At 39.2% G+C, this 23,335-nt stretch overlaps 1 protein-coding gene across 55 annotated transcripts in view; it reads right to left on the reverse strand.

Moving 5' to 3' along the window:
* The window catches only part of ELAVL2 (ELAV like RNA binding protein 2), a 160,498-nt gene that overhangs the window by 82,560 nt on the left and 54,603 nt on the right, over positions 1 to 23,335 (reverse strand). For 3 of the 55 annotated variants that reach the window (XM_047422915.1, XM_017014415.2, XM_047422914.1), the window contains exon 1: positions 10,808 to 10,884. The exons of 44 other annotated variants lie outside the window; for them this stretch is intronic. In XM_047422915.1, coding sequence (XP_047278871.1) covers positions 10,808 to 10,843 — 36 coding nt within the window. In that variant the 5' untranslated portion in view covers positions 10,844 to 10,884. Of the gene's footprint in view, positions 1 to 6,573; positions 7,316 to 10,807; positions 10,885 to 21,243; positions 21,428 to 23,335 lie in introns of those variants that run through there. 8 more of the 55 variants (XM_011517786.3, XM_005251393.4, XM_011517780.4 and 5 more) reach the window with 5 other exon arrangements.

The raw sequence follows: 23,335 nt of genomic DNA on the forward strand, positions 1-23,335 counted from the left end.
TGTATTGTGGAGAGCAAAACAAGGAGTCTAAAAACCTTGATCAATACAGACAGCTTCCTTCTGCTCTGAACTGTGGATCATCTCAATTACTGGTATTCACCTATGAAATGTGTTTTTCTTTTCTGTTGATGTGTAACGTCCTGAGATTCCCAAGACATGTATACTTGTGATTTAGAGACACAACTATGTTTTATTTACTATGGAAATTTGAGGCATCTTAAAAAAACAAGATTCACACCCTAAGATAGTAACTTTATTTCCTTTGGTCCACCTCTGCCTCTTGCTCCCCCAAAGACAGCTTTCTTTAAAAACCGACATCCCAGCTAGAACAAAACACACCTAGGTACATCTGTGACTTTTTATGGTAATTAAGTTCCTGGTTATTTACTACATTTCAAGAAAAAAAAGTGGGGGAGGGGGAGAATTTACATTCAATGCAAGTGTTATTTTTATTCAGTGATTCCAAAGTGAGGAAAGGGTTGCTAAGGGCGAGAAGTATCTCAAGGAAATGTCTTGTTAATCTGCTACATAAGAATGTATATAAGAGTTAATAATGTTTTTCAAAAAAGTTAATGCTAGACACTATAGAACAGGTAAGGCCCTTCTTAGCCTCAGACCTTATCCACTTATATCCACATCAGGCACATACACCCAATTTCGAACAACCCCCTAACAGAGAAAGGGGTCAATATGCTTAGATTGATGACCTCACCATCTCACCCAGCATAGAGCTTCCTCTTACTCCTACTTTTGTCAGACTTCCCGCTTTGCAAGTTGTCTTAGTATCATTCAAGTAAAGCACATTTGAAACGAACGCTTAAGGATCTCAAAAAGTAGGTGGGGCAAGTACCCCCATGTTACAGATGAAAAATGAAGCAAGTGTATGAGCATATATGTATATGTATAACCTGTATATACATTATACACACATATTCCCAAGTGTTGATGAGAAACATCTATCCCCCACAGGCTGAAGAGGAGAAGGGAGCACATACGCAATTACAGGCTACATTTTAACAGGAAATTATTCTTAAGACTCAAATCACAAAAGCATTAGCCTTTGAATTATTTCCACTCTAGGAAGGAAAAGAGCAGGTAAAGGGGTCTGTTCTCTTTAAAAGCTTTAATTACATATACATATTTTGTCTGATAATGTCAAAGCACTTTACAAACTCTAAGGTGCCAAGTGAACAGAGGGTATTATCATTATTGCTGGACAAAACAAGATGTCTCTTAAAATGTTAGCATAGAAAATTTGCTTATCTGGGCCTGGCGCAGTGGCTCACACTTCTAATCCCTGCACTTTGGGAGGCCGAGGCGGGCAGATCACGAGGTCAGGATATCGAGACCACCCTGGCTAACACGGTGAAACCCCATCTCTATTAAAAATACAAAAAATTAGCCGGACTTGGTGGCGGGCGCCTGTAGTCCCAGCTACACGGGAGGCTGAGGCAGGACAATGGCATGAACCCAGGAGGCAGAGCTTGCAGTGAGTCTAGATCGCACCACTGCACCCCAAGCCTGGGCAAAAGTGCGAGAGACTCCATCTCAAAAAAAAAAAAAAAAAAAAAAAAAGAAAGAAAGAAAGAAAGAAAATTTGCTTATCTGTCTTTTGGATTAAGCCTGTCAGTTTTTCTTCCCCCCACATCTAAATGGACAGCAAGGCTGCAGAGTCGTGTTGGGAGCCTTTTAACATGGAAAGGAAAGACTGTGGACAGAAAGTACAGTATGCAGACTTTTCCTAATCATGACTGTTAATTCCTGTCCTGGACTGCTGAAGCAGATGCTATGTTAAACTACATTTAGCACAGTCACAAACGGTGACTAAGGAAGTTAAAAATTTTTACTTGCAATGCTGCAATTTTTAACCCCAGACCTCCAAAGACTATGTTTAAATATACAGAGTACTAACAGCCCAAGTACTTCACATTAGAATTACAGCCTTGCCTATTTTAATTTACCTTATTTTTAAAAGTGTGTGACCCCCACCCCCCTCCCCAACTCCCCATAAAAATACACATCTCCCATCCTCTTTGAGCCTGCTTATGCTCAGGCTCTTGGAATTTTAATAAGATTAGAAATTGCTACCTCCTTATTCTGGCTAAGAACTCCAAAGATGATCCAGGCATCTTGTACTTATATTCAGATTTACAATACAGAGAAAACAAGAGTGTAGAAATCTAATCCACGATTATACCCTAGAATCTAGATTAATAATGTGTACATTATGAGATCACATGGGATCAAGTTTCCACAATTAATGGATCAGGCAAATGATCCATGTATCTACATTCATACAAAATCATACACTCTCCTATCATCTTTCTCCTATCATGATCTTCAAAAATGACCTGAATTTAAACTGTGGCTTTAAAATCACATTTAATTACAAGAAAAATAGAAAAGGAACTTTCCGTGGGATTTGAGTATCTTTTGCTACAGTAAAGAAGTTCAGATGATCTCCCTGCCTTCTGGAGAATCCAACGAATCCTACAACTAAAAGTAAAAATAAATGGCAAGGGAAAGAAACTAGCAATTATTGATTCCTCTTTCCATGCCAGTCTCAAGCTAGATATTTACAAACAAAATCTTATTTAATCCTCTTGTGGAGCGGGCAAGGTGACTCACGCTTGTAATTCCAACACTTTGGAAGGCTGGAGGACACCACTGCACTCCAGCTTGGGTGGCAGAGCAAGACCATGTCTCCAAAACAAATCTTATGCACTATAAGCTATATTACATTCTCTTCAATTTACAAATGAGAATTTCAAAACTTCAAGAGTTCACACAAGTATTAAGTGAGAAACTGGGATTTGAAATCAGTGCTGAGACCCCATCTAGAGCTTCCTAGCTGATCTCTCTATTTCCAGGCTTGCCCCTTTCTCCAATCCTTCCTCCATTCCACGGCTGTGGGGATCTAACTAAAATAATGGGCAGCACTCCACTACTATCTCTTTTAAAGCTCTGCTCACTCCACGTTGCCTATGAAGTAACATCTCAGCTCCCTAGTGAGGCAGCTGACTTGACCGAGCTCCTACCTCTTCATCCACATGCCCAGCACCCCCGCATCATATACACAAGCTCTAACAAGCTCCCAGTAGTTCTTCCCACTCCCAGTGTTTTCCAGTGTCACCCAACCTGTTTTCTCCACCTGCAACAGCCTACCTTTCTTCTCCTGCCTCATGGAAACATCCTCAGCACCGGAAGAGAGCAGACAAACCTCGAGGAAGCCTTCTGTGAACCACTCAGTTGGACCAGATAACTCTGTGTGCTCCTATATGCCTGACTCACCTTTATCTCCCCAGTAAAAAATATCAAGACAGATCCATAAAGAGAATGAATGCCATGAATTGTGATTCAAGGTGGCAAGTAAAAAACAACCCCCTTACTTATCCATGTGGTTTTATGTTCCCTGCCAAGTGGGAAAAATTTCCATTGCAACCCTGTATAGCTGGAGGAGCAGCCAAAGTCATCTCAGGTTGTTTATAAAGAGGAAGGTAGACTGTCAAGGGGAAAAAGGGGAAAGTAGGCTGTCAAGTCCTACCACTAACACACACATCTCTTTCCGCATATAGCTACTAATTCCATATTGTAAGCTCAAACTTCAAGTGGAATCAGCATTTTTTAATTCCTAGCTACAAGCCTTTGTTAAAACAATATAAACCTCAGGGAGGAACCAGGGACAGGTGTGTTCCATTGTCACCATCTCACAGTTCAAAATAAGCCAATCTCATCACCAATGTGTAAAATCAAGAGGAAACCTGAAGTTTATACTCTCTCCCCAACACAGCCAAGGTCTGGTGTGTAGAATACCAAAAAGAGGAGTAAAGAAACTCCCCAAGGCTAGAAAAGCAACATTCCTGATCTACTGCATGTACCAAGCGCTGTGCTCAGATGCTGGGAAAACAAAGATGTACAAAACCCCACTCATTCCACCCCTCACGGAACTTCTCCAAAACACACCTGTGTCCTAAGAAGGTGTCCAAAGAAGTCAAACGCACACAAGGAAACCTTTAAGAACCCGCAGCCAGAAATAATCCCTTCTCTACCTGACCTATGCTAAATAGTTTGCTATCAAAAAAAAAAAAAAAAAAAAAAAGATGGCAAAATCACTGCTGCTATGGAAACTACCACTTCTAACTTCAATATTTGAGTGTGGACACGTATTTGAGAAGAAATGAGGCATTTTGCTTCCCAGTGTTTAAAGTGCTAAACAACAGGAGACTGTGCACAGCATTGATACTGAACATTAAAGTGGACTTCTGCCTCACTAAGAAAATTTTAAATTATAAAGAAGAGCAGGCTGAAGTTTTCCTGATTTAGAATTGCTCAGAGAGTTTTCCAGGTACCCATTTCCTGTTACAACTTCATCCTATGTAAAGTACAAGTTTCTTTAAAAGAACTCTCAGTAGAGTAGATTTAACATGTAAATTGCTTAGCAGTAAATAGTCTTTAACTGTTGATAAAACTTTCAGGAAGTACCTACTAAGTACCAGGCAATATAGTCTACAGCAGTTAGGACTGCAATCTCTTTCAGATCGAGCTAAAAAGAAATTCTCGCTATCATCCACTACTTTAATCTGAGATGGGTATGAACAAAAAGATCCTTAAACCACTCTTCTAAAGGGAACCATGACCCTGAACCCAAATTTTTCAATTCTTCTGTGAAGAGTGTAGATCTACTCAAATGCCACTCTATCGCTCTATCTTAGACTATTTTAAAGAGTTCCTTGACGATTCTGAGTGCCAGTCTCTAGTTGAGAATCACTATAAGGGAAATAGATGGTTTAGAAACGTGCCCTTTCTATACCCTTCTGCCCCACCCAAGCATGCTTTTTACATCCATCCTTTGTCAGGCTAAAACCCAGGATTCACAACAAAGATCTGGAGACTGCAGGCCTTGGAATTGAGTTGAGTCATCAGGACACTATTCTTTATTCTCCATTTCTAAAGAGCAAAAGTGGGAAACGGGGGGTATCATGAGGTAGAAGCAAGAACGGTAAATTAAAACTGAAGAAAACTTCCACTGCACTGGAACAGTAATTAGACCAAATTTGCCTGCCATCAATTAAGGAAGAACAACTGCTCTGCATCGCTGGCTACCAAGACAGCAGTTAGTTCTCTTAAGTAACTTCTTGCTCTAACTGGAAAATGACCCATACTTTTACTTGCCAAGAATAAAGACAGCTGGCCTCCTACATTACAAATAACCAAAATGGAAACAAGTGAATCTTTTTTATCCACCAAGGTTGACTACACATTAACTAAGACCTATTCTAATAAACATGGCCAACATAAACAGCAGCAGCCAGGTGGCCTACTCTGAACATTCTTCCTGATACAAAGTACATCATATACCTAAGGGCATGGTGAACAAAACCCCCCAGAGTGGCTATGACCAGCAGGAAGAAAACATTGAGGGGATGGGAGTCAAAAGTCTACTTAAAGTATTAAGCATTCAAATAAATGGCAGAATCCGAGGGCCAGCTTGCAAAAACAAAAAATAAAAAGCCAACAATGGACTCTGCTTAAATAAATCACGTGCGAGGTTGAAAAGAAGGACAAAGGAAAAGTGGCAAGGGATAGACAAAAACAAGCAGATTCTGTAACTCTCCTCAACCTCCAGGCCAAAGTTCGGACTGGCAGCTAGCGGGTAGATTTAGCCTGAAAACATGTTACGTGGTTTCTCCAACGTCCTTAAAAACAAAACAAAACACAAACAAAAACAGTAGTGTTCAACATTTAAAATTTCACCAATGTAACAATTTCACATTCATAAAACTATATTTCTGATTTCGCTTAATAAATAAAGTTTGGCAAGAGTCCATATTCCCAGAGCTACTAGCCAGCAGGTTGCCCTATAAATGGGGTGCCTTCTTTCCAGCTCTCCCAATACAGCCTTAATGTTCCGGCCCCTGCAAGGGCTGGATTTTAAGTAAAAGAGTATCATAGCCTAAATGTCAAATGTGCTAAAGAGTATATGCTTTTCTACCATGATGGAGAGGTTCAGAATGTCAGAGTACTGGGGGAGGGAGGGGGTTTTCCAAGGTCATCTAAACTGAGGATCTTTAATTGTAGACCTAATCATCTGTGAAAATATTCTAATGAATATGCATAACAAAAAATGAGGCAAAAAAGCATCAAGTCTGTGTCACTAAACATCCTAATATGACTGCCACAGACATTCAAAGCACTCTAAATAACTCATTTTGGCCTGTTTATACTACTATGGATTTGGATTAGAAAGTCATCCTGTCCACAAAGAATTAGGTATATCCTGTCCCTTCTGGGGGCTGAGTTTGAGACAGTTAATTCAAACCTAATCAAATATTTTGCTATGAGAAAGAAGAGGAGGGGCCAATGAAGTGCTTTATCCCCAGGATGAGGCAGTGAGTAGGGCAGCACACAAAAAAGATAAAAATCACCTGGCACTACACCAGAAGCCCTTGAATTAACATTAAATTTCCAGGTTAACGCTCTAAAAACTGTCTCATGACAAACCACAAATTGTATTTTGGAGGTAAAACAGGAGGTAAGTGGGGAAGGAACTGAAGGGTAAATAAGAGGTCTTACTTCACACTTTTTCTGCTGCTTTTGGTTTACCCCAGTAGAATCCCATGAAAACCTGCTTCACACTGGCAAAGTGGGCAGACAGAGGAACAAAGGCAATTCCAGGGCCTGCAGAAAGTCTTCAAAGGCAAGGGAAGAAAGCAACGCCCTGCCTAAACACTGGCTATTTATAGCACAGCAATGGAAGATCTGGGAGGTGGCTGAGGGAATATGAAAGCTAGAGAGTGGGTGGGCGGGCTTCCTTCTGGCTTCCTTAGACTCAGAAACTAATGCATTCTTCCCTGCCTCCAAAGCTGCTATTTTGTTTCCTGTGTAAGGTTTCAAAATACTGCAACACTGTCCCTAGGTGCATTTGACAATATCAGAGCAATTACAGTTTGGTTAAAATCTGAAGGTAATCAACTCACCATTCTTTGCTATTCTCTAGAAAAAGAGGCCTGAACAAAGAGGAGGAGACACCACCATCCAATTCATAAGGATGGTCTCCCAAAATCCCCTGAACTTTCACAGCGCGGAAAGTTTCTGTGATTTCAAGCAGAGACCAGGAGAAACTATACTTTTCACCTCTTCTCATTAACTAAAAGCCACAGCTAAAAATAAAAAGCTGGAGCAATTCCAAAACTGTGGGTTTTATAGGGCACATTAAATTATTCCTTATCAACTGCAAACCTTTAAGGTTGCAGAGTATTATGTTAATGCTATTGGCTTTTTCTTTTTTTTCCCCAGAATCGGTGATAGTGTTCCTTAAAAAAAAAAAAAAAAAAAAAAAAAAAAAAAAAAAAAAAAAAAAAAAAAAAAAAACTTCATGAACTTCCAAGTCCAATCTCTATTGCAAAGTAAAGTATGGGTTCCTAAATCTGCAGAGAATATCATCTATTCTACAAAACCTCACACATAACTTAGGTTGATTCTCTTTTCCAGGACTGTATTATAAAACATTTTGAACTGAGAACAGATCAACAGTTGGTATTAATAGTAAATTATAATAATCATTTTACACTTGTTTCCTAATCTCATGCATGAGATTCAAAAATAAGAAAGCAGTCTAACAACAGAGAATTTTCTAAACAGAATGTGAAGCTCTCACATTTATTCAAATATAAACACTAAAAAGTGTTTAGGGTTCCCCCTGGACATTCAATTGTTATTAACTCTTAAGATAAATTTCCAACTTAATAAACTTGGAAAATGGCTTTTTAAGCATATTTTCAATTTGTTGAAAGTTTATAATATTGAATCCTATGAGTCTTTTTATAATTATTTTCTTAGAAAATTTGTGGTCAATTTCCTGTGACCTTCGTAAAACTTAAACACACCTCTTAGCTCACATCCATAACTATGTTGGCTTATACCAACATTCTTCTTATATTCTTCATTAATGGTCAAGGTTAAAGAAATAAGAGTATTTGGTCTAAACTCAAATCAAATGATCATGTGTAACACACAGCAGCACCCAAAACATAAGCACTATTTTCCATAACTAAAACATCAGAACCTAAGGCATCCATTTATACCAAAATGAAGATTTTAGTTCAGCTCTTCAGGAGAGTTAAGACATGGCCAGGTAAATTAAGGCCAAAAAAGGGCAAGTCACAACACTATGTAGCATTCAGGAAATTTGGAGCAAATTTAAGCTTTCACATAAAACAGTCAGGGTTAGGAGTGGCCTCAGAGAAGCAATTATCTCATTCCCAAGTCCCAGGCTAACAAACTAACAGGGATATGGAAAAAAAGACTAGAACGAAGGTAAAAGCCTACATAAAGTCCAAAGACAATCACTGCTGGTCCTAAATCTATTTCTTAATGATTCTGTGACCCTCAACAAGTTTGTTATGTTCATAACTTCCCTCATCTATTAAGAACAGATTTTTCTCACTCTGCTAGCGAACAGGGTTATTAAAAGAAATAAGTTATAACAAATTACAGATAAAAGAATGGCTTATAAAAAATTTCAGGCACTATACAAAGTAGGGTATTGTTCTCAAGGCACTAACCTTCTTGAGAATTGTTTTCTGCTTTCATGCTCTCCTAAAAACACATCTTTAATTTATGGTAAGGTCAAACTGCCATTATCACTGCAACCTGAGAAATTCAAATTAATGGTCAAAGATACACATAAACACACACACTCCAGGCTTTGCTTTCTTCTTTCCCTCAAAAGGTCATGTTTTCACCAAACAGATCAGGAATTCTACAATATACTACGTTCCAAGTACCAAATATTTAAGCCACCAAAACATACAGCAGAATAGCATATTTAAGAAAAGTTTCTTTTTTTTCTTTCCTTTTTTTTTTTTTTTTGAAGATAGGTTCTAATTCTGTCACCAACCAGGCTGGAGTACAGTGGTGTGATCACAGCTCACTGCAGCCTCCTGGGCTCAAGGGATCCTCCTACCTCAGCCTCTTGAGTAGCTGGGACCACAGGTACACACCACCACACCCCGCTAATTTTTTAAATCTTTTTTTGTTTGTTTTTTGAGATGGAGTCTTGCTCTGCAACCCAGGCTGGAGTGCAGTGGCGGGATTCTCTGCTCACCGCAAACTCTGCCTCCCGGGTTCACACCATTCTCCTGCCTCAGCCTCCTGAGTAGCCGGCAACCGCCACCACGCCCGGCTAATTTTTTGTATTTTTAGTAGAGACGGGGTTTCAGCGTGTTAGTCAGGATGGTCTCGATCTCCTGACCTCGTGAGCCGCCCGCCTCGGCCTCCCAAAGTGCTGGGATTACAGGCGTGAGCCACCGCGCCTGGCTAATTTTTTAAAATCTTTTGTGGAGACGAGGTTTTGCCATGTTGCTCAGGCTGGTCTCAAACTCCTAGGTTCAAAGGATCCTCCCACCTCAGCCTCTCAAAGTGCTAGAATTACAGGCGTGAGCCACCATGCCCGACCAAGAAGTTTCTTTAACATAAAAATGTCCAAGCAGATAACCAAGTCAAAACACTTTTATTACTGAACAGCAGACGGTGATGTTTTAGTTGGCAATTTAAGAATCACACGCTATAGCTATTCCTGAAAAATTCAAAATCAAAGTACATCGTAAGCATTTGCTCAGAGGCTAGCATAGTGCTTAACGCAGAGTCTTAGCATTCTCAAAAACATGCAAGACCAGCCTGGCCAACATGGTGAAACCCCAGCTCTACTAAAAATACAAAAATTAAAAATACAAAAAATTAAAAATACAAAAAAAAAAATTACAGGCGTGTGGTAGTGCACACCTGTAATCCCAGCTACTCAGGAGGCTGAGGCAGGAGAATCACTTGAATCTGGGAGGCAGAGGTTGCAATGAGCCAAGATCCTGCCACCACACTCCAGACTGGGTGACAGAGCAAGACTGTCTCCAAAAAACAAACAAACAAACGAAAAGAAACCAAACCAAAACAAAAAACCATGCAAGAGCTTAAGCCATTTTAAAGAGCTGCAACCATGAACTAAGATTTAGCCTGAAGACAATTAGCGTACGTTCCATCCCATACCAAGAAAACCACTTTATATGCTCAAATACTTCTTGGTATATTCTGCCAATGAGGCGATTCTACCTGAATTTATTAATAAACTATTTACCAGCCTGCTTGACCACCAAGGTTTGGTAAACAGACTTGGGCCCGATGTGGAAGCATAGCTAAGGATGGAGACCCCGGGGCACAAGAAGTGAGCTGAAGTGAAACCAGGAAGGAAGACAAATTTCTTTGATAGCCTCTTCTCTTTCCAATCCCAGCTTCCCATCTCAGTTGCTCATTGTGCCTTCATCCCCTCTCCCATTTGAGAGCTCAGCTGAGTCTGCAGATATCCCAAGATACTAACTGGTAACTATTTGGCTAGAGTGAGAGCCCACTTCATTTTCTATGCATCCAACAAACTCTTATCTCAAAAGGGCAATAAGCATACCTGGAATTTACTCCAATACCTGTGAAAGGTAGCCAAACTCTACTCTCCGGAGGCGTGAAGTCATCATACTTCCAGATAAGACATTAATAAGCAGAATTATCCTTACCTCATTTGTTACACTTTAGTCCTCCAAATTAAAAACAGCCAAAGAGAAACTAGCTTGTAAACAAAAGTAAATATTCAAGGTGCCAAGACTGGAAGACAGCAAGATCTCACTCAGCTCACAGTCTGAAGCCACTTAAATGGAGTAACTCCAAGGAAAACCGAAAGTTAAACTGAAGAAAAACATGTAACTTCAGAGAGCATGAAAAACTGGTACAATTCTGCACAACTACAAAGTGGCCATGCACTAACCTGAAAACAACGAGGTTCATTATTGAATAAAGGCATCAGGAATTCTTGGAGATGGAGCTTTCAAATAAGGCTTTAGTCACCACTAAAAGGACACAGAAGAAAACAGATATGCCTCAAATATCAACACATTTGAAGGACAGACATCTGCATTCATTCTAACATGCAAATCCTATGTGCAGGGCACTGTGCTGGATAACCAAGATGACTCAGATAAGGAGTTCCCACTTACTGTCTAAGCAAAGAAGGGAACACATGCAGAACCACAACACAGGACGCAATCTGGTAAGTGTGAGAAGGAGAGATTGTATCTGGATGACAGATGAAAAAAAAAAATCAGGCTCAGAACAGAGAAAAGCCATGTGCACTAGGCTCTCTGTTGTCATAGGTTCAAATAAAGGGCAAAGTACACATAGTTGCAATCATTTTTAAAATGCTGGGCACAGGCCGGGCGCGGTGGCTCACACCTGTAATCCCAGCACTTTGGGAGGCTGAGGCGCGTGGATCACGAGGTCAGGAGATCGAGACCATCCTGGCTAACACGGTGAAACCCCGTCTCTACTAAAAAAAATACAAAAAAATTAGCCGGGCATGGTGGCGGGCGCCTGTAATCCCAGCTACTGAGGAGGCTGAGACAGGAGAATGGCGTGAACCTGGGAGGCAGAGCTTGCTGTGAGCCGAGATTGCGCCACGACACTCCAGCCTGGGGCCACAGAGCAAGACTCCGTCTCAAAAAACAAAAACAAAAATGCTGGGCACAGAGACTATAGCATAAACAAGACAGGTACTAAGGGAACTTAGTGGGAGAGACATATTAAACAAGCCAAAGAATAAAGCTAATGTTTAGAATTGCAGTTCATGCCATGAAGGAAAAAAGGATGCTGTGGGAATAAAACTGGGACAGTGATCAGAAGAAAAGCCTTCTGCAGATTAAGTGACATTTAAGCTGAGATCTAAAGATAAACATGACTACATATATGTAATACTTGGTCTTTGGAAGGTAAAGGATGGTGCCACACACATACTAGGTAGTGTTGGGGGCAGTGGGACTGGTGAATAAGACATAATTTGTACCCTGAGGAATGTCATCCTAGGGATGCAATTACATCCAATATGTGGAACCCAGCAGGCAGAGTTTTACAATTATGGATAAAACTTAAGCTACAGAGATCTTGAAACCCATCTATCCTCAACCATTCCTTTTTATCAAATGAAGGAAATGAAACCCAGAGGCTGGCTCAGTGTTTCTGAACTAGGTAGGTGCAGAGGTGGGGCACAACCTGTAACTCCCATTACATCACACTGCCAATTAACTTTTTAATCAGAATTTATGTGGAATGTCAGAATTCAGTAAATTGATCATGTACAAGAAACACTTAATATCCGTAGGGAAAAATAAGTAGACTTGGGCCTAAATGCCAAGTACTTCACTAGACATTGTGGGAAAAATCTTATTTGGTTCCAGGCAAAATAAGAAATGTAATGAGTTTTTTGTAAAGTGAAATATATTCAATTTCTCTTGTGAAGTTACGTGCATCCTACTTTGGGGCATCTAAGCAAACCAGGAAATGACAGTGATAATAGATAATGTGTCAGATGGTCTTAAATGCCTTTCCTTGGCAAAACAGAGTTGACAAACCTATTATTCCCCTCCCACAATGTACAGTTTTACTTCTTATTGTACTTCCCTGAGAAGTACATATATCAAGGAACAACTGTCACAATGAGGGTTGAGGCAGTAGAGGGAGCCACTCCCAGAGTTCACAGCAGCACTGTTCATCAAAGCACAAGAAATGAAAACAAAGTGTTTATCAAGGAAGATGAACAAGAAAGATATGAAGATAAAGTCATACAAGTTCACACAATTCAATGTTCTTCAGCAGCCAAGTAAGAGCCCACACATAGACCAAAGCATATTATAAAATGAGAATTTTGATGAATTTAACTTAGTGTCCTGGAGGACAAAAAAGGACTTAGGATCTTTTAGTTATCACAGCTGCACCTACAAGTCAAATATAGGCAAAATGAAACATTTTTAATCAGATATCTCCCAAATTTTGCATTACTTTAAGGATAGTGTGAAAACAAAAATAACAAGGGAGGAAACAATCCCCTTCAAATTGAAGCCACTATAGCTCAATCCTCACTGTCTCACGTCTGTTAACCCAAAACTCCCAGTATGAGTACGAATCAGTCACGACATAGAAATCTAGACCTATTCTGTCAATGAGCAGCTGCTCCAGGTCTGCATCAATCTGTAAACAGGTATTTCCAAAGCATATGACCAGCTCCAGTCTGAGCAGAATAACAGATCAAAACTGGAGAGGACACACAATGGGAAAAGTAGTTGATCGGTTTGATAGAGGAAGAGACACTGGGTCCCACTCAAAAATAAAGTATCTCAACTTTTTCACTGAATTTACATTCCCAAAGAATAGATTGTAAAATAAGTAAGAATCCCAGACTTTTCGGTACTTGAAGGTCACTATGAGGTCACCTGGCATAGTGATCTACTGCAAGAACAGCCTGACTGGTCTTCACTGATGCTACATTCTATTTTGTACTCTGTCTCAAGCTAGCTGAACTTGAGAGACTTCTAAGTCTATCCAAGGACATTTGAAACATTTGTGATAAATGCAGAGTATTTATCTCTGTTAACAATGAAGAAAAGTCACCTTCCAGAAGAATTGCTGTGAAAGCCCACATCGTGTGCACTATTTTTTAAAAAGTAACATAGAAAAGCTGTTTAACATACCAGGAAAGTCAAGGAGAACTTTAAAAAAATTATAACCATAATACCTAATTTCATCAAAATGATGTAAGCAACAAAGATCTAATTTATATTGAGATAAACTATATAGGCTCAGACTATTCAGGCAAGGAACCAGTAAATGCTTATTTCATACTGAAATTTACAGGACATGAATGACTTAGCAATATATATTGACCCTGAGCTACTGAAATGACAACAACCCAAAGGTGATTACTGACATATCAGAAGAATAACAATGAAACTTGAGGGCGAGAGTCTCTTTCACACTTTAAAAAAAAAATGCAGCTCAATAAAAATGTACCTATTAAAAATAGAAAGACAGTTATCCCTTTCAACTGGTGTTGATCTGCCCTTTATTACTGGAGATAGACTGTATCACTCAGAAAGTTACCCTGAAGCTATAAGAAGCTTGGAGGAAAATATTAAACTTCAAGGTACAGATAGGACCAGGAGCCTGTTAAGACAGAAAACGAAGACATTAATGTTCAAAAAGTATATAAGCAGGAAACCTGCAGTAGTCTCAGTAACAGATTTTAGTGGCAAAAAAAAAAAAAAAAAAAAAAGAGAGAGAGAGAAAGGAAAGCCTTTTAAAAATCTAAGCCACTGGAATTTTAAAGTGACACCCACATGACCCAGTTTACTTTTCTATTCAAAGAAGTTCTGATGCTGTTTCTCTATTTCTCTTTGGAAGTTTTTCATGTCCAATATATTGCAAAAGATAAAAGGTACACTTTTATTTAAGCACACAATGGAATAAAACATCACTGAGGAACTTGGACCTGTAAATAAATTTTAATGGGAAAGACAAGAATTCAAACATGAGGAAAGGGCAACAGATATATATACGGCAAATGTGAGAAAGAATATGAGCATTTGGAAAAGGAAGACAACATTGTTGGACAGGGTAGGATGACAGCTATTAATTTAATTTAGGATATGCTAGGCCATGCTCTAAGCCGTTTTAAAGGGCATTACCCCCCTGTGATCCTAATAACTTAATAAAATGGGTCATTTCATCCCCATTTTTTTTTTTTTTGAGACGGAGTTTCGCTCTTGTCTCCCAGGCTGGAGTGCAATGGCATGATCTTAGCTCACTGCAAACTGCCTCAGCCTCCAGAGTAGCTAGGATTACAGGCACCCGCCACCATGCCCAGCTAATTTTTCTATTTTTAATAGAGATGGGTTTCCACCATGTTGGCCAGGCTGGTCTCGAACTCCTAACCTCAGGTGATCCAACCGCCTCAGCCTCCTAAAGTGCTGGGATTACAGGCATGAGCCACCACGCCTGGCCTCATCCCTATTTTTCAAATGAGGAAATAGGCTTAAAAAAACAAAAAAAAAAGATTAACTTTTCCAGAACTCACAAAACCTGCCAATGTGGGTCTAACAAACTCCAGAGCCCATGCTCTTTGCACCACACATCAATGAAGCAGCTAAAATAACCAATATCTTGCTTCACCCCAGACCAATTAAATAAGAATCTCTCCTAAGGGCCCAGATACTGGCATTTTTATCAGCACCCGATTTGATTCTAATCTGCAAGCAAGGATGAGAACCACTGTAAAAGACTTTTGTAAGACAAGTGGACTATCAGCTAGGTAGTGCCAAACAAACAAGAGTCAAATAATCAGAGACTGGGGAATTCATCCAGCTTTTAGAGGGCAAACAGAAGTTCAAAAACAGTGGAGGTGCTGAGGCAGAGCTGATCCAGACTAACTTCAGGGAAAGTCTGAACACAGGCTTTAGTCCAAGCAGTGATTAAAAAGGCGCAAAAAACCAGGTTGGAATCATTTTGCTGAGAGAATGAACTACAGGTTAGAAAATTTTTACTTTTAAGACTGTAGGTAAGAAGGGAGCACAAAATGACTTTTACAGCTAATGTAACCAATGGGTATGAATTTTAGGAAAATAAGGAAAAAATAACAGTTGACTAACCTAAAGCCAATGGACCAGGATATAAAATATAACAAGTGAGTGACAATAAACAGAGCTTGCTGAGCAATCGGATATAGCCTAGTAGTTACAACTGTTAACTCTACGGTGATCCCTTCTAGCATTTGCCATCCTAAGTCTTGATTTCCTCATTTAGGAAATGGAGAAAATAATCCTATCATCTCATTCAGTTATTGGAATAAATATATGAGATATGGCAGTCCCCTTTTTACCAGGCACTCAAAAGCCCCAATAGATGCCTGAAACTTCAGATAGAACTGACCCCTACCATGTTTTTTCCTACACATACCTATGATAAAATTTAATTTCTAAACTGGGCCCAGTAAGACATTAACAATAACTAAGAACTGCTGTAACAGTACACTGTAATAAAAGTTATGTATATGTGATCTCTCAGCGTATTTAGTTTTCTTTAAGTCGAGAACTTTCACCTTTTTACTTAAAGGGAACATGGAGCACTTTAACATCCTCTCTTTGGCATGTCAGAACTGCCAGCATCACTACTCTTGTGCTTTGGGGCCGCTGAAAGTAAAAGAAGGGCTACTTGAACACGAGCAGTGCAATACCTCGAAAGTCAATCTTATAACTGAGATGGCTATACTAAGGGACTAACAGCATGGATACACTAGACAAAGGGAGGATTCACATCCTGACTGGTCAGCATGAGGGTACATCACACTATTCAGAAGTACACGCAGTGTAAAACTTGTGAATTGTTTATGCCTGGAATTTTCCATTTAATATTTGTGAACCACAGTTGACTGCAGGTAACGGAAATCATGGAAAGCGAAACTGTGGGTAAGGAGGAACTACTGCCATCCAAGCAAAAGAAAAGAGACCAACGGCTTCTGTATTCTTATAGAGGGCAGTGTAAGAATATAGTCCCCCAATTTTTTCCTTCTTACCATTACAACTTTAGATGGCCTTGTTAAAGACTCAGTAAATGGGGAATAGAAGTTTGGCCTGCTTATTCAGTTCCTATTAGTCCCTATATAGAGGGACTGCTTATTCAGTCCCTATACAGAGGGTCAGTGACCCTCTATATCAGTCTAGGCCAGTGCCCAGACACTAGACGCAGCCACAAGAAATGCAAGTTTTCCTAAATGGTAAGGTGGAATGTATGTCCCCTAACCCTACTGAAGTGACCGTCATTTCACAAATAGTGAATTTATATATTAAGTGATTTATTAAATTTATGCTACATACAAAATTACGTATTAAAATGCATATGTGTCCTCAACTGAATTCTTGAGGCATAGTATTGAGGAAACAGTTCAAAATAGTAATACAATTCGGTAAAACTTTTAATTATTTCTCAAAAGAATCCACACAACTTAAAATCTGACACCTGCTGAATGATAAAGCTTGGTCATCTGCACAACTTCCTATTCAACTTTCATTTTCACAAACCTTATTTTGTCTTAAGATGATTTCCACGCACTCAGCAGGGTAATCTTTTAGCTAAATGATCCGAAACCCACAATCTGAATGGCAAGAAATTGCTTCCTAAATAATGTATCGTATTATACAAGCTATCACATATCTCCCTTCCCCAGAAAAGTAAATAAACATTCTTAAAGACAGCCCAGAGGAAAACAGTATGGTTGCAAAACAGTTAGCTTCTTATATCTTTCAAGACTTTACTAAATGTCACTTATAAATGAGAAAACATATTTGAAGTTTTTAAGTGTTCTATGCTTTTTAAACCCTTTCCTGAATGTATACAGGTAGGACACTCAGAGGTAAGGTAAGGGGTAACCATGTTCCTAAATTACATTAATTTCTAATGCCTGAAACCAAAGTTTTCAAAGGGCTATAAATGCTTGAATAATCCATTAAGATACACAAAATGACAGGTTGATGGTAAAAAAGGGGAAAAAAAAAAAACAACCTTTCAACAAATGACAAATTTTCTCCTAAATCATTCTTTGGTTAGAGGACCAATGTAAAAGAGGCAGGTCCGAGTGCTGTTTTGTACTGGAAACAAAACAGATGTAACAGGTGTAATGAATACCAGAGAGAGATGAGACAGAAAATCTTGAAATTAAACTTCTGTGGTAGAAAAAAAGAGAGGGAATACAAAAATATATGGAAATGCCTGGTTGGATGAAAGGAGAGTAGATATTCTAACCAAACCATTTAAATCCACATTATTAGACACCCCAATACCCGCTTTCCCAGTCTGTGACTGCACAGGTAAAGCCAAAATATATTTTCTGCTTTGGAATAGATTTTCTACTTAGGATTAGTTACAGGCATATCGGCTGCTCTGGGAATTCACTTTCAAATATAATGAGGCCACACTAAAAACTTGAAGGAAGTGAAATAGTATCCTTCATCTCATCTGTCACCATAAAGCTCAACGTAAAGAAAGCTAAAAGGCTCACTGCAGTCCCTCAAGAAAAAGTTAAAGGTTTGACTCTCTGCTGATTACCTTGAATAGACAGCCAAATTAGGCTGGAGCAAATAACTATAAACTGACTATCTAATGTAACTAGGCATTAGCCATTCATCCCAGAGCTTTAATTTTATGTTTTATATATTACGGTTCCCCTGGTGATTTTCCGCATACCTCATTAAGTTCTGACTTGAGGATGTCTGCTCTGGACGAGCACACAGAGCAACACAACACAAAACATCCTAAACCTCACATCTCTTAGTATTTCCAACACAAACATCGCAGGTCTCCTGATGAACACTTAACCTCTACATGTTCTCTAAGTACAGAGTGCCTAGAGTCTCAGAGCTGCACAGACACCAGCAGACATTCTGTGAAAACACTGCCAAGACCCTCTTGACATCTGTGGCAAAAACATCCTGTCTTCTAAATATATGTTCTGTTTAAGTGGCTTTTAAAGCATAAGCATGGTGCCTTTAAAAGCAGTTTGTAACAAGAGGTCAAACTATAAAACTGAAGAGGTTAGAGAAGAAATCAATTGTATATCAATTGTCAAAACTCAACTTTAAAAGGCAGAGGTGGTCACAAACTACTGTACAGACAGGGTAAATGGAAAAGAAATCTCCAGGTTGAAAACGGCAAATGCTAATCGCAGGGGTGGGAGCAAGGAGTCTTGACCAATCGTAAAGATGAGAAAGCATTTCCCTTCTGGAATGAAAAACTAAAACTGTAGATCAGAAATTCAGGGGAAAAGAATCATTTCTGTTCATGCCTCGAGAAATTAAATACCCTTACCCCTGTTAGAGAACTGAAGTGTATCTCCCAAAATTAACATGTTGAAACCATAATCTCCAACGTGACTATATTTGAAAACAGGGTTGTGTAGTTCAGTAGTTTCAGTAGAAACGGTACTTCAAGTAACTACACAACCACTCTGTTTTTCACTCTATTTCCTTAATTATTTCAGGAAATAAGGCTAAATGAGGTCATAAGTGTAAATAATTAAGAATAAATGAGGTCACAAGTATGGGGCCCTAATCCAATAGGATTGGTGTCCATATAAGAAAAGGAAGAGACACCAATGATTTCTCCTTCTTTACATACCCAGAGTAAAAGCTAAGTGAGGACACAGTGAGAAGGTGGCCTTCTGCAAGCCTGAAACAGTGGTCTTGCCAGAAACCAACACTACCAAAACCTTGATCTTGGTCTTCCAGCCTCCAGAACCATGAGAAAATAAATTTCTATTGTTTTTGCTACCCAGGCTATGGTATTCTGTTATGGCAGCCTAAGCAAACTAATACAACCCCCACACCAATTCTTAATCTCTCAGTTGTCTTTTCCTCTCATTGCTGCCACCCAATCTTTTCCTGGAATCTGAACCTTAGGTATGCAAATAGTCCCCAACTTACATGGTTTGACTTAACAGTTTCTAAACTTTGTAATGGTGCAAGATCGATACACATTCAGTAGAAACAGCACTTCAAGTAACTACACCATCATTCTATTTTTCACTGTCAGTATTCAGTAAATTACATGAAACATTCAACACTTTTATTATAAAACAGGCTTTGTGTTAGATGGTTTTGCCCAATTATAGGCTAATGCAAGTGTTCTAAGCAGATTTAAGGCAGGCTAGGCGAAAGCTATGATGTTAAGCAGGTTAAGTATGTTAAATGTATTTTCTACTTATGACATCTTCAACTTAACTTAAAGATGGGTTTATCAGGACATAAGCCCCATCATAAGTCAGAGCACCTTCTTGTAGCCACTGAACCATGCCCCCTCGCTTTTGAATCAACACTGTCATCTATCCATAACTGCTAATTTACCTTCACTAAAATGAGTGTCTACCAATATCTACCCCTCATCCTCCAATTCCCATGAGACCAGGGCAAGCCTTTATCATCATATACACTGCTTCAAATCTGTCTCCTCCTCCAACATGCTCATCTTTATATAATGGCTAGCTTCAACTTCCCAAAAACATCTCATGCTATCACTTGCTCAAATACCATCAATTGTATACATACAGACCTTCATTTAAGGGCCTTTTTAACTTTCTAATCCATCCCTAATGTTTTCTCCCAACTTCTCAAGCCAAAACCCTGCATAAGGTCAAAATGACCCATAACCATCCTCTGAATCTGTTGCATTATTTTATTTACTTCCTTTTTTCATATTTTTCTTTTATTTTTTAGACACAAGTTCTTACTCTGTCGCCCAGGATGGAGTACAGCGGTGTGGTCACAGCTCACGGTGGCCTCCAACTCCTAGAATCATGCTATCCTCCCCCGTCGGCCTTCCAAGTATCTGGGACTACAGGCATGCATCACCACACCCAGTTATTTTTTATTTTTTACTTTTTGTAGACACAGGGTCCTCACTATGTTGTTGAGACTGGTCTTGAACTCCTGGCCTCAAGCAATCCCTCCCCGCAAGGCCTCCCAAAGTGCTGGGATTACAGGAGTGAGGCACCACTGCCTGGCCTGTTTCCTTGCTTTTATTCCTATTGTTGTGACAATTTGGAATGTCCTCTCTGCTTATTTCCTTTCTAAATGGCAGCTGGAAGAAAGAAGTTCTGAAGAACATTACACAATCACAAGGGGCTTGTTATGGCAAAACCTTCTACCCTCAACTGCTGCTCTGCCACATACTGATTTTATTCAAATAGGCTTTTACCTCCACCAAATCATGCCAGGTACTTACACAATATCTGAAAGATGGTACCAATTTCAGCTCCACATAAATAGAAAATGGGAAGATCTGACACAAATGAAATTCAGAGTTTTCAGAGGCTCTCATCTCCCCCTAAGTATTATCATCCTAAGTAAGGTCTAGAGACCATGAGACACACATATAGATTTGATCTGAGCTCAATCAGTTCTTCTCTCAAACCCTCAACTTTTTTTCTAAAGCTATCACCTAAATCCCAGCAACAAAACTAATAGAGTCTCTCAGATTTTCCCAATTTTCAACGATCCCCTCCCCTATCATTCCTCCAAAGAACATCATAACAAGCCTCTTCAACACTCTCTTTATGAGAGCCTGAGCTTCGTAACCTATACTGGATCCTTATTGATTTTCATCATGTGAGTGACAAAACACAGTAATATACTAAGATTTCCAACAACCTGAATACCTGGCTCTTGATTTTTACATGCCCCCAAAATAGCCTCTGTCCCACTCAGTGGACTTTCCACCTCCAAACTTTTATAACTATTTTCTCCACTCATGATCTTCTCCCTACTGGTTCCAATTTACACGCATGCTCTTCATTATAAGCTTTGCTGATCTTCTCTAATAAATTTTGCTTACCCCTTTAAAAACAGTCCTCCAAGAGCTCTTTCCTGGTAACTTAGCATGCACTATATCATACAGCCATTTGTAAGGCCCCATCAATGACTCCACCTGTATGTGGTCATCTTTATATAGAAACCCAACCAGAATGGAGACATAAAATTCTAGAAGAGCTTTAGTTCTTTCATCATTGTGATCTAAATCAAAGGGCACTGCAGTCAGCAGCACCCAGAGATACTCCAATGTCACTGACTAGCATACCAACAGCATTCAAGCTGCTTCATGAGCTTATCTTTCCCCTTCTAACTTCAGGGTTGGTAGGGCAAAGAAATGACACCAATGACATCTACAATCAGGGCCTGGAATCAAAAGCAAACTGATAGTGTAACATTCAGGGACTTCAGTGACACTTTCCTAGAACACTGAGTGCCCAAAAGGGCTGGGCCATCAGCTTCCCCTAAAGAGGGGAAAAGAACCACCCACTTTCTACAACAGATTGACTGTTAAACACACGTACAGCAGGCCTCTTGCAGGAGAAAAGGCAAGCTGTCCTGCCAGAGTTCCTAAAAGCTTCTGAGGACAACAATTTTTCTTAGGGAGTGAAAATATATACCCTAATCCATACTGGATAGACAGCCCCCATTTTTCAAATTCAAGGCTGAATAAGATACATTCAGTTTTAAACATTCCTAGAATTTGAGAATTCCAAAGTATCAACCATTTTTACATCAAATAACTACATTAGTCAAACCAGACTAATTATTAAAATTACACAAAGCTTGTACAAATCAATCCTTAATGTTTAGGAAAATCATGAAAAAATTTGTGTGGGGAAACCAGTCTAATCTTTTCAGATCCAGTACACCAACCACTTGGCAATGCTCCCTACAATCTGGGAAGATTTCCTGACCAATGGAATACAGATAAAATATGGCAGAGTATGCATTAATCCTTCCATCTTCTCTTGTTTTAATAATAAGTAGAGAGCCAGGACCATACAAATTAGGTATATACAGCTCCTAGAAAAATAAAATTTAACTAAAGCTAAAGAAGATGAACACTTCTTTAACCAAATTTCCCACCTTATTTTATCTTATGCACACCTACAAAACATCTGTATACATGCCTTATAATAGCTTTTGATCAACTGCTATCAAAACAAACTAAAGGAGTAAAATAATATTACTGCTCTTCAGACATTAAAAAACACATTTCTAAGCAATATTTTCAAAGTCAACAACTTTGAAAAATTAAGTCCTTATCTTTATAGACCACAGGCTCATTATAATTAAGTGGGTAGTTTGTTTATATTTTATATAAGATTCCCTAAGAACCTAAGATCCTGCCAGTGTCTATTTAAGAAATGGAGAAAATGTTGGGCGTGGTGGCTCATGCCTGTAATCCCAGCACTTTGGGAGGCTGAGGTGGGTGGGTCACCTGAGGTCAGGAGTTCGAGAACAGCGTGGCCAACATGGTAAAATCCCATCTCTACTAAAAATACAAAATTAGCTTCGTGTGGTGGTACATGGCTGTAGTCCCAGCTACTCGCGAGGCTGTGACAGGAGAATCGCTTGAACCTGGGAGGCGGAGGCTGCAGTGAGCCGAGATCACGCCACTGCTGTCCAGCCTGAGCGAGACAGAGCAAGACTCCATCTCAAAAAAATAAAAATAAAAAATAAATGGGGAAAACAACATTGTAAGTACTGGAAAATACTACGTCCATAGTCATTGATATATAAAATGTCTCAAAAAATAGGACTGTCATAAAATACAGAACCTCTTACAGAGAAGAAATTTTAAGTTGCCACTATTAAAATGGAATTTAAAATCTCAAGATTCCACATATTTAAGAACGAATATTCCTTTGTTCATCACAAAGCTGAGACAAAAACAAGACATTTAATGGCAATGTGTCTCCTCCCTGAAAGTTGATTTTATTGCTATTTAGCATTTCCAGGAAATAATTTCTAAGAGCTAAACAATCATTTTTAATATTGACTCCTCTTCACAGCCCGCTCTGCAGCACCACCACCTTCTTACAAACCGGGGGAAAAATGCATAAGTGGATGTTTAAATTACTTTCTTGATCAATATTGTTTCCCACCAGATT

This window comes from Homo sapiens, chromosome 9, assembly GCF_000001405.40.
Source record: "Homo sapiens chromosome 9, GRCh38.p14 Primary Assembly".
Taxonomy (NCBI): domain Eukaryota; kingdom Metazoa; phylum Chordata; class Mammalia; order Primates; family Hominidae; genus Homo; species Homo sapiens.